The sequence below is a fragment of the Homo sapiens genome, chromosome 9, assembly GCF_000001405.40.
Source record: "Homo sapiens chromosome 9, GRCh38.p14 Primary Assembly".
NCBI lineage: Eukaryota > Metazoa > Chordata > Mammalia > Primates > Hominidae > Homo > Homo sapiens.
In genome coordinates this window covers 68734603-68753708 of record NC_000009.12, presented here as the reverse complement: position 1 = coordinate 68753708, position 19106 = coordinate 68734603, and the positions used below count along the sequence as shown (strand labels likewise).

At 41.1% G+C, this 19106-nt stretch overlaps 1 protein-coding gene across 14 annotated transcripts in view, besides 1 other annotated feature; it reads right to left on the bottom strand.

The window, feature by feature from the left end:
* Positions 1–19106, bottom strand: part of PIP5K1B (phosphatidylinositol-4-phosphate 5-kinase type 1 beta) — a 303937-nt gene that overhangs the window by 255468 nt on the left and 29363 nt on the right. For 7 of the 14 annotated variants that reach the window (XM_017015189.2, XM_047423951.1, NM_003558.4 and 4 more), the window contains one exon: positions 11052–11208. The exons of 4 other annotated variants lie outside the window; for them this stretch is intronic. The gene's annotated coding sequence lies outside the window, so the exon portion shown is untranslated. Of the gene's footprint in view, positions 1–11051; positions 11209–11354; positions 11445–13481; positions 18364–19106 lie in introns of those variants that run through there. 3 more of the 14 variants (XM_011519084.4, XM_005252262.6, XM_011519082.3) reach the window with 2 other exon arrangements.
* Positions 9486–9680: a silencer, noted in NCBI's record as "fragment chr9:71358945-71359139 (GRCh37/hg19 assembly coordinates)". NCBI's record gives its function as "represses an EF-1alpha promoter that drives an FKBP-Casp9 reporter gene in an ReSE screen in phorbol 12-myristate 13-acetate-treated (for megakaryocytic differentiation) K562 erythroleukemia cells {active_cell/tissue: K562(+PMA)}" and the evidence as "EXISTENCE:reporter gene assay evidence [ECO:0000049][PMID:32094911]".

Here is a 19106-nt window from a genome sequence, read left to right as displayed (position 1 = left end):
ACTAAAAATATAAAAAATTAGCAAGGCGTGGTGGCTGGCGCCTGGAGTCCCAGCTACTCAGGAGGCTGAGGCAGGAGAATGGCGTGAACCCAGGAGGTGGAGCTTGCAGTGAGCTGAGATCACGCCACTGCACTCCAGCCTCGGTGACGGTGTGAGACTCCATCTCAAAAAAAAAAAAAAAAAAAAAAAAAAAGAAACAAAATTAGCCGGGCATGGTGGCACACGCCTGTAGTCCCAGCTACTAGGGAGGCTGCGGCAGGAGAATTGCTTAAACCTGGGAGGTGGAGGTTGCAGTGAGCCGAGATCATGCCACTGCACTCCAGCCTAAGTGACAGAGTAAGACTCAGTCTCAAAAAAAAAAAAAAATCAAGAAAATGTGGGGGGAAATAAACCATATTTAACCATTCAGATAGGGCTTGCACAACTAGATATCAAAATGTGTTATCAAAATGTGTCATAAAGCTATAGGAATTTAAACCTATTCTGTTCTTACCTATTCTGTTCTTTAAAATGTTAAAAAAAAAAAAGCCTAGAATTCAGTATTCATTACGGCATTTCAAATTAATGTAACAAAAAGATGGATTCTTAAATCAGTTTGGTTAACTGGCTATTCATTTTGGAAAATATGAAGTTAGATCCCTACCTCTCACCTTATACAAAAATAAATATCAGATGCAATAAGATTTAAATGTAAAAAATGGAACCACAAAAGTACTAGAAGAAAATTAAGGTACAATTTATGTAATGGTAGGATGGAAAAGACCTATCTTAGCATGCCAACAGCCAAAATCGTAGAGAAAAATATTAGATCTAACAACTAATCTCAGAGATTAAATCTTTGTTTCACAAAACTGAAAGGCAAGCAAATTGAAGGAAATATCTGCACCATATGGCAGAAAGAGAGTTAAAATTTTAACCAATAAAGAGTTTTTGTAAATTAACCTCAAAAGCAGAGCATTCCATTGAAAATAAGCACTACCCTTCTCATCTAATAGGTGAGGTAAGAAAAATCCAGAGAAGACTGACTAAAGGATACATTGGTAACTCCTGGCAAAAGATGAGATGAAATATGGGCTTTGCAGTCCCCTAGAAACATGATTTTTCTGCATTATCAGGTTTGTAAATCTAAAAAAAGAGAAAGGAAAAGAAAGAAGGAAGAGAAGGAGCAAGGCAGACAGCAAGGGAGGGAAAGAAAGAAAAAGAAAGGAAGAAAAAAAAAGAAAGAATAAAAAGGAAACCAAACCATATTCCAATGGCTATGGCTGAATGAATTACTTATGCATGTTTCTACAAATGTTAACTTAAAAAGCAATATCCTACCCTTGCACTAACTATGTAAGTGACCTAACTTCTCGGCCTTGTTGCTCATCTTAGAGCAAGCTGAACTTGAAGATCTCTAACACTGTCTAGTTTAACCCCACTTGCATTAATGTATGACATTATAAAGTTATGAGCAACTCAGAAAACAACCTACATACAATTCAGTGAACATTTATTGGGCACCTACTATGGGCAAGATACCATAATAGACACTGTGGGGATACAGCTTTGGCCTCTACTTGTGTAATCAATTTATTACCATAAAATTTTAGAGTTGGAATAACTGAATTTTATAAACGAGAAAACAAGCATGTTGGATATACTGAAATATAAAACCTTTAATACATTTATAAAATTAAAGAAAATTTATTCCATATATATAAAATGTTAAGGACTATCATATTCTTTAACAATTCTTTTAAATAATTAGATATGAAAATAGGGAATCTGAGCTTGAGGTCTAGCACTGTCAGAAATCCATTTTTAAGAAAATTATTATCTGAATTCATATAACATAAAACTAAACACTTTAAAGTAAACATTTAGTATGTTCACAATGTTGTGTAACTACCACTTCTACCAGTTCCCAAACTTTCTTTGCAGTGCAGCAATGAATTCCAGATGTGCTCCATCCTTGATCTTGACCATTTCCCAATGAAGCCCATGACTCTTTGAGGAATTTCTCAATTCACTCAGCATAACTAGGCAACTCATTCTATTCTAAAATCATTTAACAAATGTCTATGTAAATCCCTACCAACAAAATGAAGGGCCATATAATTACCCAGAAAAGTCAATCTCTGGAGTCATCCATGAGAACTAATCACAAAACTGCATTTTTAGTAGCTGGACTTTTATTACCTGAATTACTCCCTGCCTCTATTCTCTCATCTCAATCTTTGTGAAAGTTGGCACACAGTATTCAAAGAGTGTCCAAGCCTAAGCTCACAAGAGATCAATTCATAGGTTCTCTATGCAGACCCTTCTTTGGCAGGCAAGGTTTATGCAAGAAATGTTTGCCTATGAAAAGCTGATAATTATAGGTATGCTTTAGAAAGAAATGACAAGTGCCATGAATATTTACATAGTACCTTAGAAATATGCTTTAAAGCTAATCATAAAATTACAACTACCAACATTTTCTAAGAATTTATTATGCTCTTGACACAGGTCTACGTGCTTTCTATACATTATTTCATTTGAACCTTACAACCGTTATAACAATACTGAGGCTTAGAGGTTACACGACTTGCCCAAAGTCATCCACTTTACAATAACTACCAGGCATACTTCTTCCCTGAGACCGCATTGCCAATAATGATCCCTGAACCGTTTCTATAAAGAATTCCCACAGCAGCTGGGATAAACCAAAGCCACATGGCTTAACTTTGAAAGGCACTCCCAGGCAGTCTGTGGGGAAGGAGCAAAAGGTTCACCACCTTTGAAAGACTTAGGAATTCCAACCATTAGTCATCAGCAGAGGTGCATCAACAAACACTGGTTTTCAATCCATGTCAAAGATATTTTCATTATCCCCATGAAAGGATTAAAAACTGTCCCCTCTAATATCACAACCTGCCCCCTTGTGCCACCTTCAGCACTCCCAACCCCCTTCCCTAAACTGCTGGTTTCCCATAGTCTTATCACTACCTAAACACGATACCATTTACTAATTTATTGTGCATATAAGTATTCTAGTGTGCTAGAATGCAAACTCATTGAGAACAGGGATCTTCATTTTATTCACTGCTGTGTCTCCAGTGTTTAGAGATACAGTGACCTGGGTCACAGTTGGAGCACGTTCCTCTTCCTTACAAAAGTATATGATGGTATCTATTCAAATCACTTTCTAACATTTCACCAAAACCTGCTAAACGCTGCTAAATATTTCACACATTTGAATGGAGACACTGACACATTCATAAGTGAATGCAACAGCTACGTCACCGACGAGAAAGCTGTAATTATGGAATAATAGAACTATCACTGACAGATGGAAGGGTTTTGCTTGTTGTTACAGCTTATCCAGGGAATTATATAAAGAGTTCAGTGAGTTAGCATAACTGACAGGCAATCTACGCATACAAATCCTGGGGAGCTGAAAGGTGAGAGGGGAGGGCAATGAAGGAAGGATGTTTAATATTAAAACATGTGCATCTTTACAACAGAAGTTACTGTTTGGAAAATGTTTTCAATGGCCATTAGTTCTATAACAGAAACTATGGAAAACAGTGTGACAAAGTAGCATGGCAGAGCATGGGTTAATAACCATTTTCCTGCATTAAATACTTTGCAATTTGCCAGGCACTGTTCTGAAGCCTTTACACATATTACATCATTTGAATATCCTTACAACAACCCTGTGATGTAGGGACTGTTATTATTTTATAGATAATGAAACTGGGGCTCAGAGAGGGTGCCTAACTTGCCCATGGCCACACAGCTACTTAGTGATGGAGCTGGGATTAAGCTGTACTTAATTTGTACTCTACCTTGGTGTTTCTCAACAGGGTGTAGTTTTGTCCCCCAGTTGACATGTGGCAATGTTTGGAGACATTTGTGGTTGTTGTAACTAGGGGGAAGGAACTACTGGCATCTAGTGGATAGGAATGCCGCTGAACATCCTCAGGGCAGAGGACCGCCCCACAACAAAGAATGTTCTGGCCCCTAAGTGTCATTAGTGCCGAGGTTGAGAAGCCCTGCTCTCAAACTCTTAACCTCTGTACTTAAAGCTTGAGAAACACCTTTGATAGAAGGACTTCTGTCCTTTTTAGGAGGAAAACAAACTGTAACATGTGGTTACAGGTGGTCATGTTACCTTATAAGAGAAGTGCATTCACTTCCTGAGGCTGCTGTAACAAATTACACTAAATTTGGTGGCTTAAAACTACGAAAATTTATTCTCTCCCAGTTCTGGAGGCGAGAAGTCCAAAACCAATGTCACTGGGCTGAAACTGAGGTGCTGGCAGGGTCATGCTCTCTCTGGAGGCTACAGGGGGACTCTGTCCCTCGCCCCTTCCAGTTCCTGGTGGCTGCCAGAATTGGCACTCCTTGACTGGTAGCCACATCACTTCACTCCCTGCCTATGTCTTCACATCACCTTCCCCTGCATGTCCCTCTCTGTTCCCCTCTGCCTCTTTCTCATTAGGATGCTTGTAAAATATTTAGGGCCCACCTGAATGATACAGGGTAATCCCCTCAAAATTCTTAATTCAACCACATCTACAGAGACTGTTTTTCAAAATAAGGTAATATTTACAAGTTCTAAGAATTAGGATGTGGATATCTTTGGGGGACCATGAGTAGATATTATTATTCTCATTTTACCATGAGGGAACTTCAAGTCATGTGCCCAAGGACAAATGGCTAACAAGGGGTAGAGGCGGGATTTGAACCCAGCTCTGTCCACCTCAGAAGCTCATTCTTTTTTCTTTATACATTGTCACCTACAGAGGCTGGAGAAAAGATCTGAAACCTGGCCGAGTGCGGTGGGTCACGCCTGTAATCTCAGCCCTTTGGGAGGCAGAGGTGGGCGGATCACCTGAGGTCGGGAGTTCGAGACCAGCCTGACCAACATGGTGAAACCCCGTCTCTACTAAAAATAGCAGGGCGTGGTGGCACATGCCTGTAATCCCACTACTCAGGAGGCTGGGGCAGGAGAATCGCTTGAACCTGGGAGGCGGAGGTTGCAGTGAGCCAAGATGGTGCCATTGCAGTCCAGCCTGGGCAACAAGAGTGAAACTCTGTCTCAAACAAAAAAAAAAAAAAAAAAAAAGAAAAGAAATCTGAAACTCAGCCGCCGAGTGGTGCCTACTGCAAGAAAACTACAAATCCAGGCGTATTCTAAGCACTGTCTGTAAAAATTATGATGGCACAAACTTTCATGATATGAGTGTCTGAAGAATACAATCACCTGTAATCTTTGCATAGAACTATCTAGAGCCTTCTTCCTGAGTCTAAAGTAAAATGCAGCAAATTACAGCTATAACTACACATGCTTCTTTAGCATTTGTACTTTATTATGGACTAAAATCCCACATTTGTGAGAAGTCATTCCCAGTGGAGAGAAGGATATGGTGGGACTGTGTGTCTGTGGGGCTGGAGTTTCCATAATCCCAGAAATGTTTTGATATTAAAAATATTGGGCATTCAGCTGTAAAAAGGAATGAAGCACTGACTCAAGTCACAACGTGGATGAACCTTAACACATTACGCTAAGTGAAAGCAGCCAGGCACAAAATGACACAGATTGTACGATTCCTTTTATGTGAACTACCCAGAACAGTTAAATCCACAGAAACAGAAAGCAGATTAGGGGTTACCTCGGGCTACAGGGAGTAGGGAATGGGGAGTGACTGCTTAGTGAGGATGGGGTTTTATTTTGGAATGGTGAAAATATCTTGGAACTAGATAGAGGTAGTGTTCACCTCCATTTTTCATAATAAAATGGTTAATTTTATGTTCTATAAGTTTTACCTAAATAAATACATAAATGAAGCCTCTATGCTAAGCAAACTCTGGGGTAGACAATCCATTTCCTTACAATGTAGTGTTAAACCATACTGTGGATCAAATTCTAGAGGAGTGGCTTCTAGCTAAGATATTATGATTTTATATGACCCTGGACTGAATATGTCTTCTAGTACTCTACTTTTTGGATTATGACAAGAAGGTGTAAAAAAAACAGCAAATCTACAATTTTAAAATTCGCTTCTGATTTTTTAACTAAAGTAATAAGTACTTGCTGTAAAAAGAAGCTATATTATGCCAAAATTTATAGTAATTTCTAGAATAAAAATTTTACCTCCAACTCTCCTAAAATTAGTTGCCTGCTTGCATTTCCTTATAACAGAGCCAGATGAGATAATAAAATGGAAGTGCTGTGTTAACTCTGAAGCATATTTCAAATGCAAGCCATTATTATTAGTGTAAATAATGATACTCATCAAAAAGACAGCATAAAGGAAAACACTGCCATGTTACAGCGCGCACTTTATAACGACGTGGCAGTAATAACTAACCAACAAAATTGGTGGTCTATTATTTTACAATCAACAGACAGTAATTAAGCAACAAACTTCAACTGCTGCAGTTTCGATTTGATAATAACCAGATAGGACACACCAGAAGAATGTGCACATACGAGATAAGCCTCCTCCTCCTCCTGAAGCAAGTACACCCAAGTTGTTGCCCAGGAAATCTAGACTGCCCCCAGGGCCTTATACGGAGTAAAACTTGTTAAGGGAGGAATGTGAAATTCTCTGACTTGTGGCCAGAGTTAGGACTGTCTATGGAGTAGGCAGGGAAAGAATGAGAGGGAAGGCGATCGCCAAGCCTAGTTCAAGTCCAGCGCCTTCCTTCAGAATCCAGCTTCTATTCCTAAGGAGAAAGACATTCCCATAGCCCATGAATCCCCAACTGTGTGGGCCAAGGGCAGGGACAGGTCTGGTGTGAGGGGGTTAGGGGAGGCTATGACAACTTTGGGGATCTACTACCTGTAAACATGCTGCTTTCATGGGGCTGCATCTTGAAGAGAATTTCTCTTGCTGTGTACCATGCAAGATAGATTCTGGGCTGGGAACTAGTCTTTCCACTCCAGCCCGAGGCCAGGCTGCTGCTACCTCGGCAGGTTCTGGAAGTGGTAAGCCAGGCCTTGCTGCAAGGCCAGATGACAGCTGGACACAAAGGACTGCAGGAGAGGCACAGAGAGGACAAGACCAGAAGAGACATGGAAGTGCTGAGCTCTGGGCCATGCCTGCCATCAACCCCTTAGGTTATCTCACAGCTAACTCTCCTTGGTGTGGGTATCTGTAACATGGGGTGGCACCTCTGCTCCACTTGCCTCAAACTAAGTTCTTGTTAGAAGAGAGTGAGAGAAAAAGACAGAGCCAGAGGGAAAGAGAAAGTGAGACAGAGAGAGGAGAGAAAGGGTGAGGGGAGATGATGATGAACAGAAAAATATACCAAAAATTAAGCCTTGTCTCAGTACTTCCAAAACTCTGTGCATGCCATATAACTAAGAATCTGTTTGTTAAGAGTGAACACACTTTGGGAGGCTGAGGTGGGTGGACCACTTGAGGCCAGAAGTTCAAGACCAGCCTGGCCAACATAGCAAAACCCAGTCTCTACTAAAAATACAAAAATTAGCCAGGCATGGTGATGCATGCCTGTAGTCCTAGCTACTCGGGAGGCTGAGGCACAAGAGTAGCATGAACCCGGGAGGTGGAGGTTGCAGTGAGCCGAGATCGCACCACTGCACTCCAGCCTGGGTGACAGAGCAAGACTATGTCTCAAAAAAAAAAAAAAAAAAAAGAGTTAACACAAAAGAAGAGAGACATGTGGGGAAAGAACAGCTTAAACAAAAGTAACTTTTTAATTCATGCTTTCATTCATTTATTCAACATATATTTAGTGAGCACTGGTTAGTTTCCGAATAAAACAGACATGAATTTTCCTTTATGGGGCTTACCATTTGATGTGAGAGTAAGACACTAAATAGCTTGTATAATTTATTTGGAAACGTTATCATTTATAATATAAGATGTACTGTGAGGGAAATAAAGGGAATTGCGGTAACAGAAAACAGAAAATTAGGGGAGATCTACTTAGGTGGGGTTTGAACAAAGAAGTCTTTACTAAGGAAGGAACATTAAGGAATCCTAAAGGAACAGAAGGAGCTGGCAACACAGAGTGGGAGCAGGCAGCAGAGAGGGAGCTTCCTGGATGGAAGATTCAGGTGGAGCACAGGCCCTTGGAGCAGGATGGAGGGCAGGAGAGGAAGAGGCTGGAGTGAAGTGGACATTCCTGTCTACTCCCAGGAGCCTTTTCTATGCTGTGTGTCATGTGCATCTCCAAGAGCTAAGGATAAGCCCTGCTTCCCAAGAAAGTATTACAGAATGTCAAAATGGGATGTGTCAAACAAGCCGCTAAGATGGATGAGATACCAGGTTCCAAAGTGAAGTGCCAGGCCTAGATGCAGTTTTTCAAAGAACATAGCCCAAAACCTTTTTCACTGGTCTTAAACCTCTTACCTACGGTGTGGCTACAAGTAGGTCAGACTGCTTGTTGGTGGCTAAAAGGAGAGAATGATTGAAGCAAGCAGGCTGCAGTCCAGTCTGGTCCTAGCCTAAAGGACTAAGCTTAGGAAGAGATAAGAGTACCTGCCCCTCCCTGCTTCTCCCCCTTCCAGCCTCATGAGGGGGCTCAACAGGACTACCTGGAGAGCATGAGGCTCTTACGATGTGGAAGGCACTGTGACCTTGTTTGGGACTTCTGCCTAAGAAATCTGAAGAACTGGAGAGCTGGCTGGATGCTGACGGACAAGCCAAAGGAAACGACAGTTGCCCTGGGAGCAGCCTGCCCTCTCCCAGTTGGTGGGAACAAAGGAAGTGTGAGTGTTTCCCATGGACCACACCATGAGCATATGTACAGGGCTATATATTAGGGTCTTCCCAACAAGGGCCACCTGGACAGCAATAGAACCCAGCAGACAGGAGTACGAATGGATTGGTGGGCTTTCTAGAGACTGTGGAAACAGTCTGCAATTAGGCTGAAGAGAGTGCAGCAGCCCCACCAAGGAAATTGGAGGTGAGAGGCCCCCAGAGACAAGGTGAGAGGGTATCTCCAAAGAACCCACAAAAGGGCCCCACAAGAGAAAGAATCAACTCTAAACACCCACAACACAAAAAGAGCTCTCCTATGATACCGCCTGCCTAGTAAAAGCTTTCCTACACTCCTTCCTGTTCCCCACCCAGCCCCTCACCCCAGTCCAGAAGTCATAGCTACTGAGTAAGCAAGAGAAAAAGCCTCCAACCACAGCCCCCTCTCCCTGCAACAGGCCCTAGCCAGGGGAAGGGGAGCAGTTATAAATATGAATGAAGCTGGAAGCTTTAACTATCCCATGATACTAGACATTTTAAATATCTGGCAAATTAAAGTGGGGCTTTTTATTATATATGAGGAATCAGAATAGCCACGTGATATGTTTTCATCCAAAAAACAGGGGAAATGCTTTCCACTGAATAAATTTTAATGGGAGAGTGGGAGACTTGATGAAGTTGTTTTTTCGTGGCCTCCCATGAAACCTATTTGTTCAAGGCAGATTATACATAGAACCCCATTGTGTTAGCACATCTCGTGGAAAATGTACTTTCCAAAAATGAGGCCCAGCATGCCCCAGCTTGAGGATGAAGATCACTGTGGTTTGTGGGTCCACCTTGTAACATTGTCCATCCTTGGCCAGGCCATGCAGAGCCTTCAGTATCTATGGCAACTGAGGCTACGGACCTCCTGCATACATCAGTGGTTCTCGTTCTTACACCTTCCTCCTTTTCCAGGAAGACAAATGTGTTTCAGGAAGGAATCCCTATCACCAAGAACCCCCACTAAGCTCAGCCCTGATCCTCCTGAAACAAGCTCTGATTGAGTTCCCAATATTGTGCTTTATGAGTCTTCTTCTTAGATGTCACCCTAACAGGATTCCCGGTACATTCATCTGGCACCCAGTTGAGAAGGCCAGAGCCTCAACCCATACTCAGCAGGAAACCCAAGGAGAATCAATAGAAGGACAGGGGCCTCTTTAACTCCACCCATTCAATCTCCCATTGTCTTAGTGTCATGAAAAGCAAATCTTAACATGCAGGGCAGTAAAACATGACACAGAACTCATCTTCAATAAACTGGCACTTTGGTTAAGCAAATGTGAAAAGTCAACAGCCACAGCATCCTTATATGCCAGTGGGTTTTGGCAAATCAACATACACTGACCAAGTCTTTCTGATATTGGAAATATTGCTTACCAAATCTACACCATGTGAAAGGGATTTCTCCTCACACATATGCAGTGTTCTTATGAAAGCTCATTCAAAACTGACATTAAAAGACATTTTGGGCCAAGCCTGCCTCGTGCCTGTAATCCCAACAGTTTGGGAGGCTGAGGCAGGATGATCACTTGAGCCCAGGAGTTTGAAACCAGACTGGGCACATAGCGAAACCCCAACTTTATACTGGAATAAAAAATTAGCCAGGCATGGTGGCATGGAAATGTAGTCCCAGCTACTCAGGAGGCTGAGGCAGGAGGATTGCTTGAGCCTGGAAGGTCAAGGCTGAAGTGAGCTATAGTTGTGCCACTCTAGCCTGGGAGACAGAGTGACAACCCTGTTTCGAAAAAAAAAAAAAAAAAGTTTTGGTATTTGGGCTATTTTAAAAATGCACAGCAGAGGATCTGAAGGTTTCTGGGCCTGCTCCCCACTAGGTTCTGAGCTCCTTGAAGCAGGGACTATGTTTCATCCACTTTTGTACCCTCCTAGGGCCTAGTACAAAATCTGGTACATATGTGCGTTCATTCAAAGTCTGACAGCTGATGAGTGAGTGAACAAATGAACATTCTGGCTCATATTTTCAGTTAGATTTGTGTGAATACTATAATTAAATCTGTTTTTAAAAAGAGAGAGACCTACTATCCATCATTGTTGACCACTCTATTCTCTACAGACCATTTTGAGTGTGTTTATTTGAATCTTGCAGTCAGATGCTGTAGTGTTCTTTTGTGTAAAAGATTTTCCTGGGGCACCTCTTTCTACAGGCTCCTGAGGCCACCCACATCAGCTGCCCATTCACACCACTCAGAAACAGCAAAGATCCAGCATGGTATTGGGCTCCATCAAAGGGAATCAATGGGTCTCTCGAAGGGAATAATACTGCTTTAAAATAGGTATTTTCAAAAGAATTACCTTTCACCTCTCTCCTAGAAGGACCTTTAGAGATGAAGCAGGAAGAGAAAAGGCCCTCAAATGCTGAGAGGTATCAGGCACCAGAGAAAGGTCACAGGACTGGGGTTGGACGGCTCTGCAGTCACATCTCAGCTCTGCTGGGCCTTGGCTTCCTCATCTGTAAAATGGAAATAATAATGCCTACCTCAAACAATCATGGTGAAGAGGGGAATAAGTGAATGTATGAAGGCTCTTATTATAGCCCTTGACACATAATAAGGGCTCAAATGGTGGTTAGTTCTACATACAACACAAATTACATACCCCTATCTGTATATTTAAAGATAATTTTGTGTCTGACTGGTCCACAACTCTCAAAGGAGCTGAGATCCAAAACTCAGCTGTTTAGAACTTGGAATGCACTTTCCCATGGAAACAGTGCTACAAATCACAGAACTTTAGAATCAGAAACTAGATGACCTTATAGTACATCTAGTGATGTAGTAAAACTTCCCACTAAATGTAGGACTTCTTAATATAGGCTCTCTGATGTTGAAATTCTAAGCAAGGCCACCAAAACCAATGTAACCCATAATGTCATTGAAACCACATGCAAGGAAACAAGTAATAGTGGAAAATAATTTTTAAATATTCAGTAATATTTCAGCTTCACATGTTCTTCTAACCTCAGCTAAGATTATCTTCCAGTTCTGAAACTCATATAGAAGTGAGGAGACATAAACTTCTTATGAGTAGGGCCATGATAACCTACCCTGGTTCTCCCCACCCCCAACAACTACCACCCAAATCTTCCAATTAGTAATACGTGATAAGGACTCTATCAGCAGCATGAACAAAATGTAACGGGCCCATGGAGGAGAAAGTGATAACTGGGGGGCTAGAGAGGGTGAAGAGAAATGCCAAAGAGAGGAAGAGGTGAGGCGTGGAGAAGGGAGGCAGAGAACAGAAAGAAAAGGCTTGGTTACCAAGTTTCCCTTCTCTATCTCTTTGCTTAGAGTCAGCTCCATCTCACCTGGTTGTGCAGAAGCAAAACTATTTGTAGAGGTCATTCCACAATGGATTGGTGGGCTTTCGAGACGATTTGAGACACTGTTTGGTCACATGCTAATATCATTTTTTAGGGGTCACCCCTCATCCTCCACCTTGACCCCTGGCCATGGCAGTCTCTACCCACGCAGTGACAGCAAGAAGGCAGAGTGCTCTGGGATATTTCTACTGCTTGTTCTCTGGAATGGAATCAACTGACTGTACTTACAGCACATTCAGAAGCCAAGGGTGCTTAGTTTGGAGAGTGCATAACATTGCCTTCGATATGGAAAATTCCAAAGAAACTGCAAAAGTGACCAAGGAAATCTAGTTTTGGATAAAAACTCTAAGTTCTACTCAGATGACATGGGATAATGTTAAATGAAACAAAAATCAATTTATGAAAAAATATGTGATTCCAATTTTTGAAATGTATGTACACACACTGTTTTAGGCATTCTTAGATATATCTGCTCAGAAAAAAGGAAGCTAATACTCCAGAACATGAACAATGATTTTATCTGTGTTCGAGAATGAAAGAGTAGATATATTTTTTCTTAATTTTCTAAGTGTGGTTAAATGGGCAAGTAATTATATAAAAGTGGGTAAAATGGCATTTAGAAATACTAATTTGAGATTTTAAAGCTAAAAGACTTCTTAGAAATGACCTGATCTAAAACTTCCCCCAGTCCCTCTCAGGTTTGTAGGTAAAAGACCTCTGACACACCAAGTGGCTTCTGAGCCTGAAGTCTTCCAACTCGGGGATAACTAGCTACACCATGGCTTGAGCTCAGATCTTGTGACATTTATGGTCTGTGCCACTCCCATTATATCACGTTGCCTAGAGTCAGAGACTAATGAACTTCATAAGGAAATACGCCATGAGGAAGGCACAAGCCTTACTGTGCACACCTATATTTCTCACTAAATAAATATTTGCCTTTGAAGCATATCATAATTTTATGACATGCAAACAATTCAGTTGCTAAAGGAGCCCCAGTGATTTCATCAGAGCTACTGAACCAGAGTGCTAGTTATGAAGTTTGAACTCCCGCATTGCATAGAAGACCACTATCAGAGAGCTTCAGGATAAAAATGTATTAAAAGGCACCTTAGTCCTTATGCGAGGTATCTCTGTGATTATGGAGAAGACACAGGTTATTTCTGTCTTCTACTGTTGTGAACTACACATGTAACAGCCACTTAACTTCCACTGAACCCAAGAGACTGTAGAGACCCATTGTATCATACTGTATTAGAACTACTTAACATTTAGTCAGCCCAAAAACATGTATAGAAATCAGATAAACTAAAAACACTTTCTGAGAGTGTCCATGTCCTAAAGGCTTTAAGTACTTCTATTTATACAGCCTTGTTAGGAGCTACGCAACATCTAAATCTTACCAAAAGATCCGTCCCAAGATCTTCCATTTCTTCAGGGAGAAAATTCAGACACTGGATGCAAACACATATATAGCAGAGCCTTGGGCCACACAGAACTGGCTTTCTGTTTTGCTCCCTTTATCTTACTGGTAGGGATTGGGAATGCTTTCTAGGCAAAGGGTGGGGAGCTGGCTGATCAAGGACACAGTAGCAGGAAGGAATGGCCACAGGTAGTGAGGTCAAAGAACTGTTTTTCAGATAAGCAGAGACTCTATACCTGGTCACAGCCACAATGGGTAGCTTGTTCCCTGCCCAATGTGCTAACCAGGAGCATAATACATGACCCCAGAATGTACCTGTGGCTGGCAGACAGCGTGCAGGAGTCTGGGCAATACATCAGTCTCTTGGGTTCAGCAGTAGTAAGCCTAGACTGAGAACCTGAAATTAGCTATGCAGGTCACATGAGTTTAGGGCAAAGCCTCAAGCATGCATAGGCACAGCAGAGCAGAGAGTGCCTGAAATGAGCACTGAAAGCGTGAAAATGCTGCCTGGGGAGAATTCTCAGTGGAAGGAGCTGGAGGAGAAGCACAGGAAACAGCAGGCTGAGAAGTGTTGCAATCTGAGATATCACAGCCTGCAAAACATTCCTCCAACCAAAATTACTTTGGTATTAAGGGAAGCCCCAAGAAGGAGGCTGAAATTTATGTTTAAATATAAATGCTGCCTTCTTAAATATTTTAAAGTTTTAAGGAAAGAATATAATGTGCTAACGTGGCCTCTTGTCTTTGTCAGTCAAAATAAAGGTACCCAAAATGGATCAAGAACTATACTACTATATCCCTCAGTCAAAGATCTCCAACTCTGAGAGGTTAATCTAAGTATATAGACAAAAGAAGCCAAAGGCTAGATTGTATGAAGATGTACAAATGTTGCGTCCCATAAGAGCAGAAAACAAAGAGTTGATGATATTTGAGGACTGATAAGAGGGGAAAATCAGACTATGCAAGAGTAAATCGAGGCACATGAAATATTTTAAACTCCTTTACAAATGATAATGTGAAGATATGAAATAGGAAAATAAAATATGAAGTTTAAAAATTCAAAATTAAATGGTCATAAAGATTACAGCAGAATCAAAATAGTGGTGCTGGGGAGGAAGCTAGAGAAACAGTCGATGATCAAATGCCAACGGTGGCCAGGATTGTTCAGGGTCGGCTGACGGAGAATGAAGAAACTGAAGGCTGGACCCCATGGTAAAGCCATGGAGAACTTTTTTGGCCGGTGAAGAAGAGGGTATAGGCTCATCCAGAAATGTTGAGGCATGGGCCTGAGCCCAAAAAGAAGAAAAAAAAAATGTTGGCCTTCCTGAGATCAAAGTGGGCTCAAGTACACTGTTTGAAACTTGGATTGAAGCGTTGAAAATGTGGATAGTTTAATATGATCCTGAAGAAGGGTGATCTGAAGGAACTTGCAGATTAAAAGAAAAGGGGCCCCTTCTCAGAGAGGGCCTGAAAGGGTCTGTTTAAGCTAGAAATATGTGGAAGGGTCCATTTAAAAGTCTAGAAATTTGGCCAAACTCGCCAAGGAACATGAGAATCAAGTTGTACTGCCTCATATCACATGACAGCCGGAATGGAGCAAAGTGACTAACTTCACCCCACCCCTTGTCATCTCCAGCTTTCAGATGAGAATACGCAGATCCAAGGAAGGTGATGCCAACTGCTGGCCCAAGATGACAACTAGTTTATGGTGGTGACAGGAACAGTACTCACATCTTTTCCTCTCAGTCCAGCAATTCTTTATTATAGCATGCTCTCATAGCAACCATATGTAGGTGGACCCAGCATTCTCCTACCATACATGAATTAACCTTAAAAAGTCATTTTCACTATACAAGTGTTACTGTTTTTAATTGGTGAAATTCAAGACGGCCAAAAATAAAGAAAATCAACTGTTGTTTCAATTATAAATACAACCTCAATTTTAGAAGTTCTCATTATTTCTGTTAAATGTACCTAGTTGGTGTTGGCCTATTTTCATAGTTCATATTATGAAGATTTATTCTATAGGTTTACATCATCAGCCACATACATATGAATTTTTCAGATCTCTATCCAAGTTCTAAGGATCCTGCTTCAGTTTGGGGCCAAGAAAACCCTAAATACCTGCCACTAGAAACCTCTTTCTAGGCTGACGAACACTCAGTCATTACCTATGTTATGGCATATGAATAGAATCAGCTATGAATTTATTGCATTATTCTGTCATCCTCCAACATCTCTCTATTATGTGCGTAAGGAGACCGGTGAGAGATATTTGTCAAATGCTTTGATGTCTTTGGCATTATCTTCCAATATAGAAGCCCCTTTTATAAAAGAAAATGTGACAATTGGTCACTACGCATTAGTAGATTTATGCTGGTTCCTAAGGATCAATGCAATCTCTTCTCTGGACTCCTAAATAATTTATATGATGATAGTTCAGAAATTTTGCAAGGGTGCATTTCACACATTGAAAGTTTTAGGAATTCAACTTTGTCAAAAGCTATATAGAACAACATTTGCATATCTCTGGTCTTCTGGAACCTCTGCCACTCTCCAAGTTCACTCAACAATCACCAGCAATGGCTCAAAGATGATGCCTGCTAACTCCTTCAACCCTGCTAACCCTGAGATACAATCCAGTGTGCCCCAGAGAGGTAAATGCATTCAAATTACCTGGATTTTCTTTCATTGTCATCCAAATCCCTTTTAGTAACACCCTTTTAATTTTGGAAATCACTTCCTTTGATGGAGAATTGAAAGCAACATAGTTCTGCATACATCATCTATTCATGCTAGCCTTATGCCCTTACTTAAGCAATAGTCTAATCCTGTCCCCATTCTTCTAGCTCCAGATACAACTAAAAAGCAAAATAAACATAACACTATTCTCAAAATACAAATGACATATGCCGCCATGCACACTCCAAAAAGGTTCAACCTAGCCAGCAAGGAAATAAAATAAACACACCAATAAAATGTCATTTTGTAACAAACTGGAAACACACCTTTAATTGACAGAAAGCAAACCTGGTGACGTTGTAGGGAAACTGACATCCTTATATATTTACCAATAATTTAACTGTATTTGGAAGCAAATACATAAGATGTTCATGCTCTTTGTTCCAGGAAACCTAAACTTGGATATTTATCTTAAGAGACACAATCTGAAAGAAAAGAAGGTCAAAGTATATAATTATAGGAAGTATAGGAATATCAAAATGGCCCCAAACTGGATGCCTTCTAAGTATTCAACAATGGGAATGGTTAAGTAAACTACAAAACATCAGCTGTGGTAGGCTGAATAATGTCCCCAAAGATGTCCACATCCTAATCCCCAGAACTTGTGAATATACTACTTTACATGGTAAAAGGAATCTTCGAGATGTAATTAAATTAAGTGCCTCAAAATGGGGAGATTATCCAAATGCACCCAAAGTAATAACAAAAGTGTGTAGAAGTGGGAGACAGGAGGTTCAGAATAGGAGAAGTGGTGACTGAAGCAGAGGTGAGGTTTGAAGATGCTGCTGGCTTTAAAGATGGAGTGAGAGGCCATGAGTCAAGGAGTGAGGGTGGATTCTAAAAGATGGAAGAAGCAAGGAAATGGATTCTCCCTGGAGCCTCCAGAAGGAGTGCAGCTCTGCCAACACCTTGATTTTAGGACTCTGACCTCCAGAACTGTGAGATAATAAATTTGTATCCTTTTATGCCATTCCATTTGTGGTAAGTTTTTACAGCAGCAGTAGGAGACTAATACACAAACTATTATGCAGCCACTGAATGTTATAAACCTGAGGACTACAGAGCAACAGAAAAAAAATGTTAAAATACACAGATGGCAAAACTGTATGTACACAATTACTACATGTGAAATATGCATACAAATAGATCAAGATTAATAGATTAAGATAAAATATACTAGTAGAGTAAAAGACTTTTTAACTGGTCTTTCTACTTCTGCAACATTCAGAGTGACCAGAGTGGTCCTTTTCAAATATGAAATCAGATGACCCTATTCCTCTGCTCAAAAGCCTCCAATAGCTCCTCTCTCCTCAAAGAAAAAGACCAAGTCCCCACAAGGACCTCTATAGCCCAACTCCACAGCAGTACACAGCTCCCACGACAGCCACTCACATGCGCTTTCCGTGATTCCATCCCAGACACCACCTGCCCAAATTTGTGTTTGTCCTCACTCACTCCATCTCATTACCTGGCTGACCCTGCTCCAGGCTCATGGACCAACCTGCTGTTCCTGGAGTGTTCCAAGCCACTCCTGCTTCAGGCTTTTGCACTGTTTGCTCCCTCTGCCTGAAATACTCTTCCTAGTGGTATGCGCATGGCTCATTCCCTTGCTTCCTCCCTGTCTCTGCTCAAATGCCACCTTAGCAATGGGGCTTTCTTCAACTGCTGTATATAAGTAACAGTCCCATCATTCCACCTCAGAACCCCCTACTCCCTTATCCTGCTTTACCTTTCTCCAAAGCATGTATTATTGTCATATTTAAAATATCTATTTGTGGCCGGGCACAGTGGCTCATGCCTGTAATCCCAGCACTTTGGGAGGCTGAGGCAAGCGGATCACTTGAGTCCAGGAGTTCGAGACCAGCTCGGCCAACATGGCTAAACGCCATCTCTACTAAAAATACAAAACATTAGCTGGGCGTGGTAGCACATGCCTGTAATCCCAGCTACTTGGGAGGCTAAGGCACAAGAATAGCTTGAACCCGGGAGTCAGAGGTTTCAGTGAGCTGAGATCAAGAGGAGGTCAACTTATAACCCAGAGGAGCCTAAGTAGACATGACAAATCTAATGACAAATATAACGTGGTATTCCAGATGGGATCCTGGAACAAGAACAACCACCAAAAAAAAAAAAAAAAAAAAAAAAAAAAGACACTAGGGGAAAACAGCAAATCTGAATAAAGTATTAACAGTAGTATATCAAAATTAGTTAATGAATTGTGGCAAATGTATATACTAATATAAGATAAAGATAGGGGAAACTGGTATGGGGTATATAAGAATTCTCTCACTACATTTGTAATAGTGCTCTAAATCTAAACATGTTCTCATATAAAAAGTTTGTTAAAAAAAACTTCCAAGAGATCAGGACCACTGTCATCAAAGGCTCCTCCATCTTCCATGCCATAAAGTCATTCTTTCTTAATGGTTGGTGTTAAATCCAATATAGCAATTTATTTGTTGTATTCTGAAAAGTGACAAAAATAGGCCGAAAGGCACTAGGTTGTTTTTAGCCCAATTACTCAGCCAGCAGAAGCTGAGATGGTCACCTCCTATTGCCTTTTCCAGTTTTGCCATTTGCCCAGTATCAACAGATCAGCCTCAGCCTCCATCTGTTTGGCTAGTAGAAGGTTCCTACAACAATCAAATGATGGGCTGCTTTCCTTTTTCTTTTAACCTCACCAAATGTTCTGCAGAATAGTTCCTCCATCAGATTGTGGATTTATAGATAAGCATGTTCTTCCTTCCTTATCAATCCTGTTTCTCCCTTTTGTATAGACTGGAGGGACATTCTTATCCTTGTGAGTTTCAAGACCATTTGAGCAAAATGTCATGGGAGCAGGTAGCAGTCATCACATTAGAGG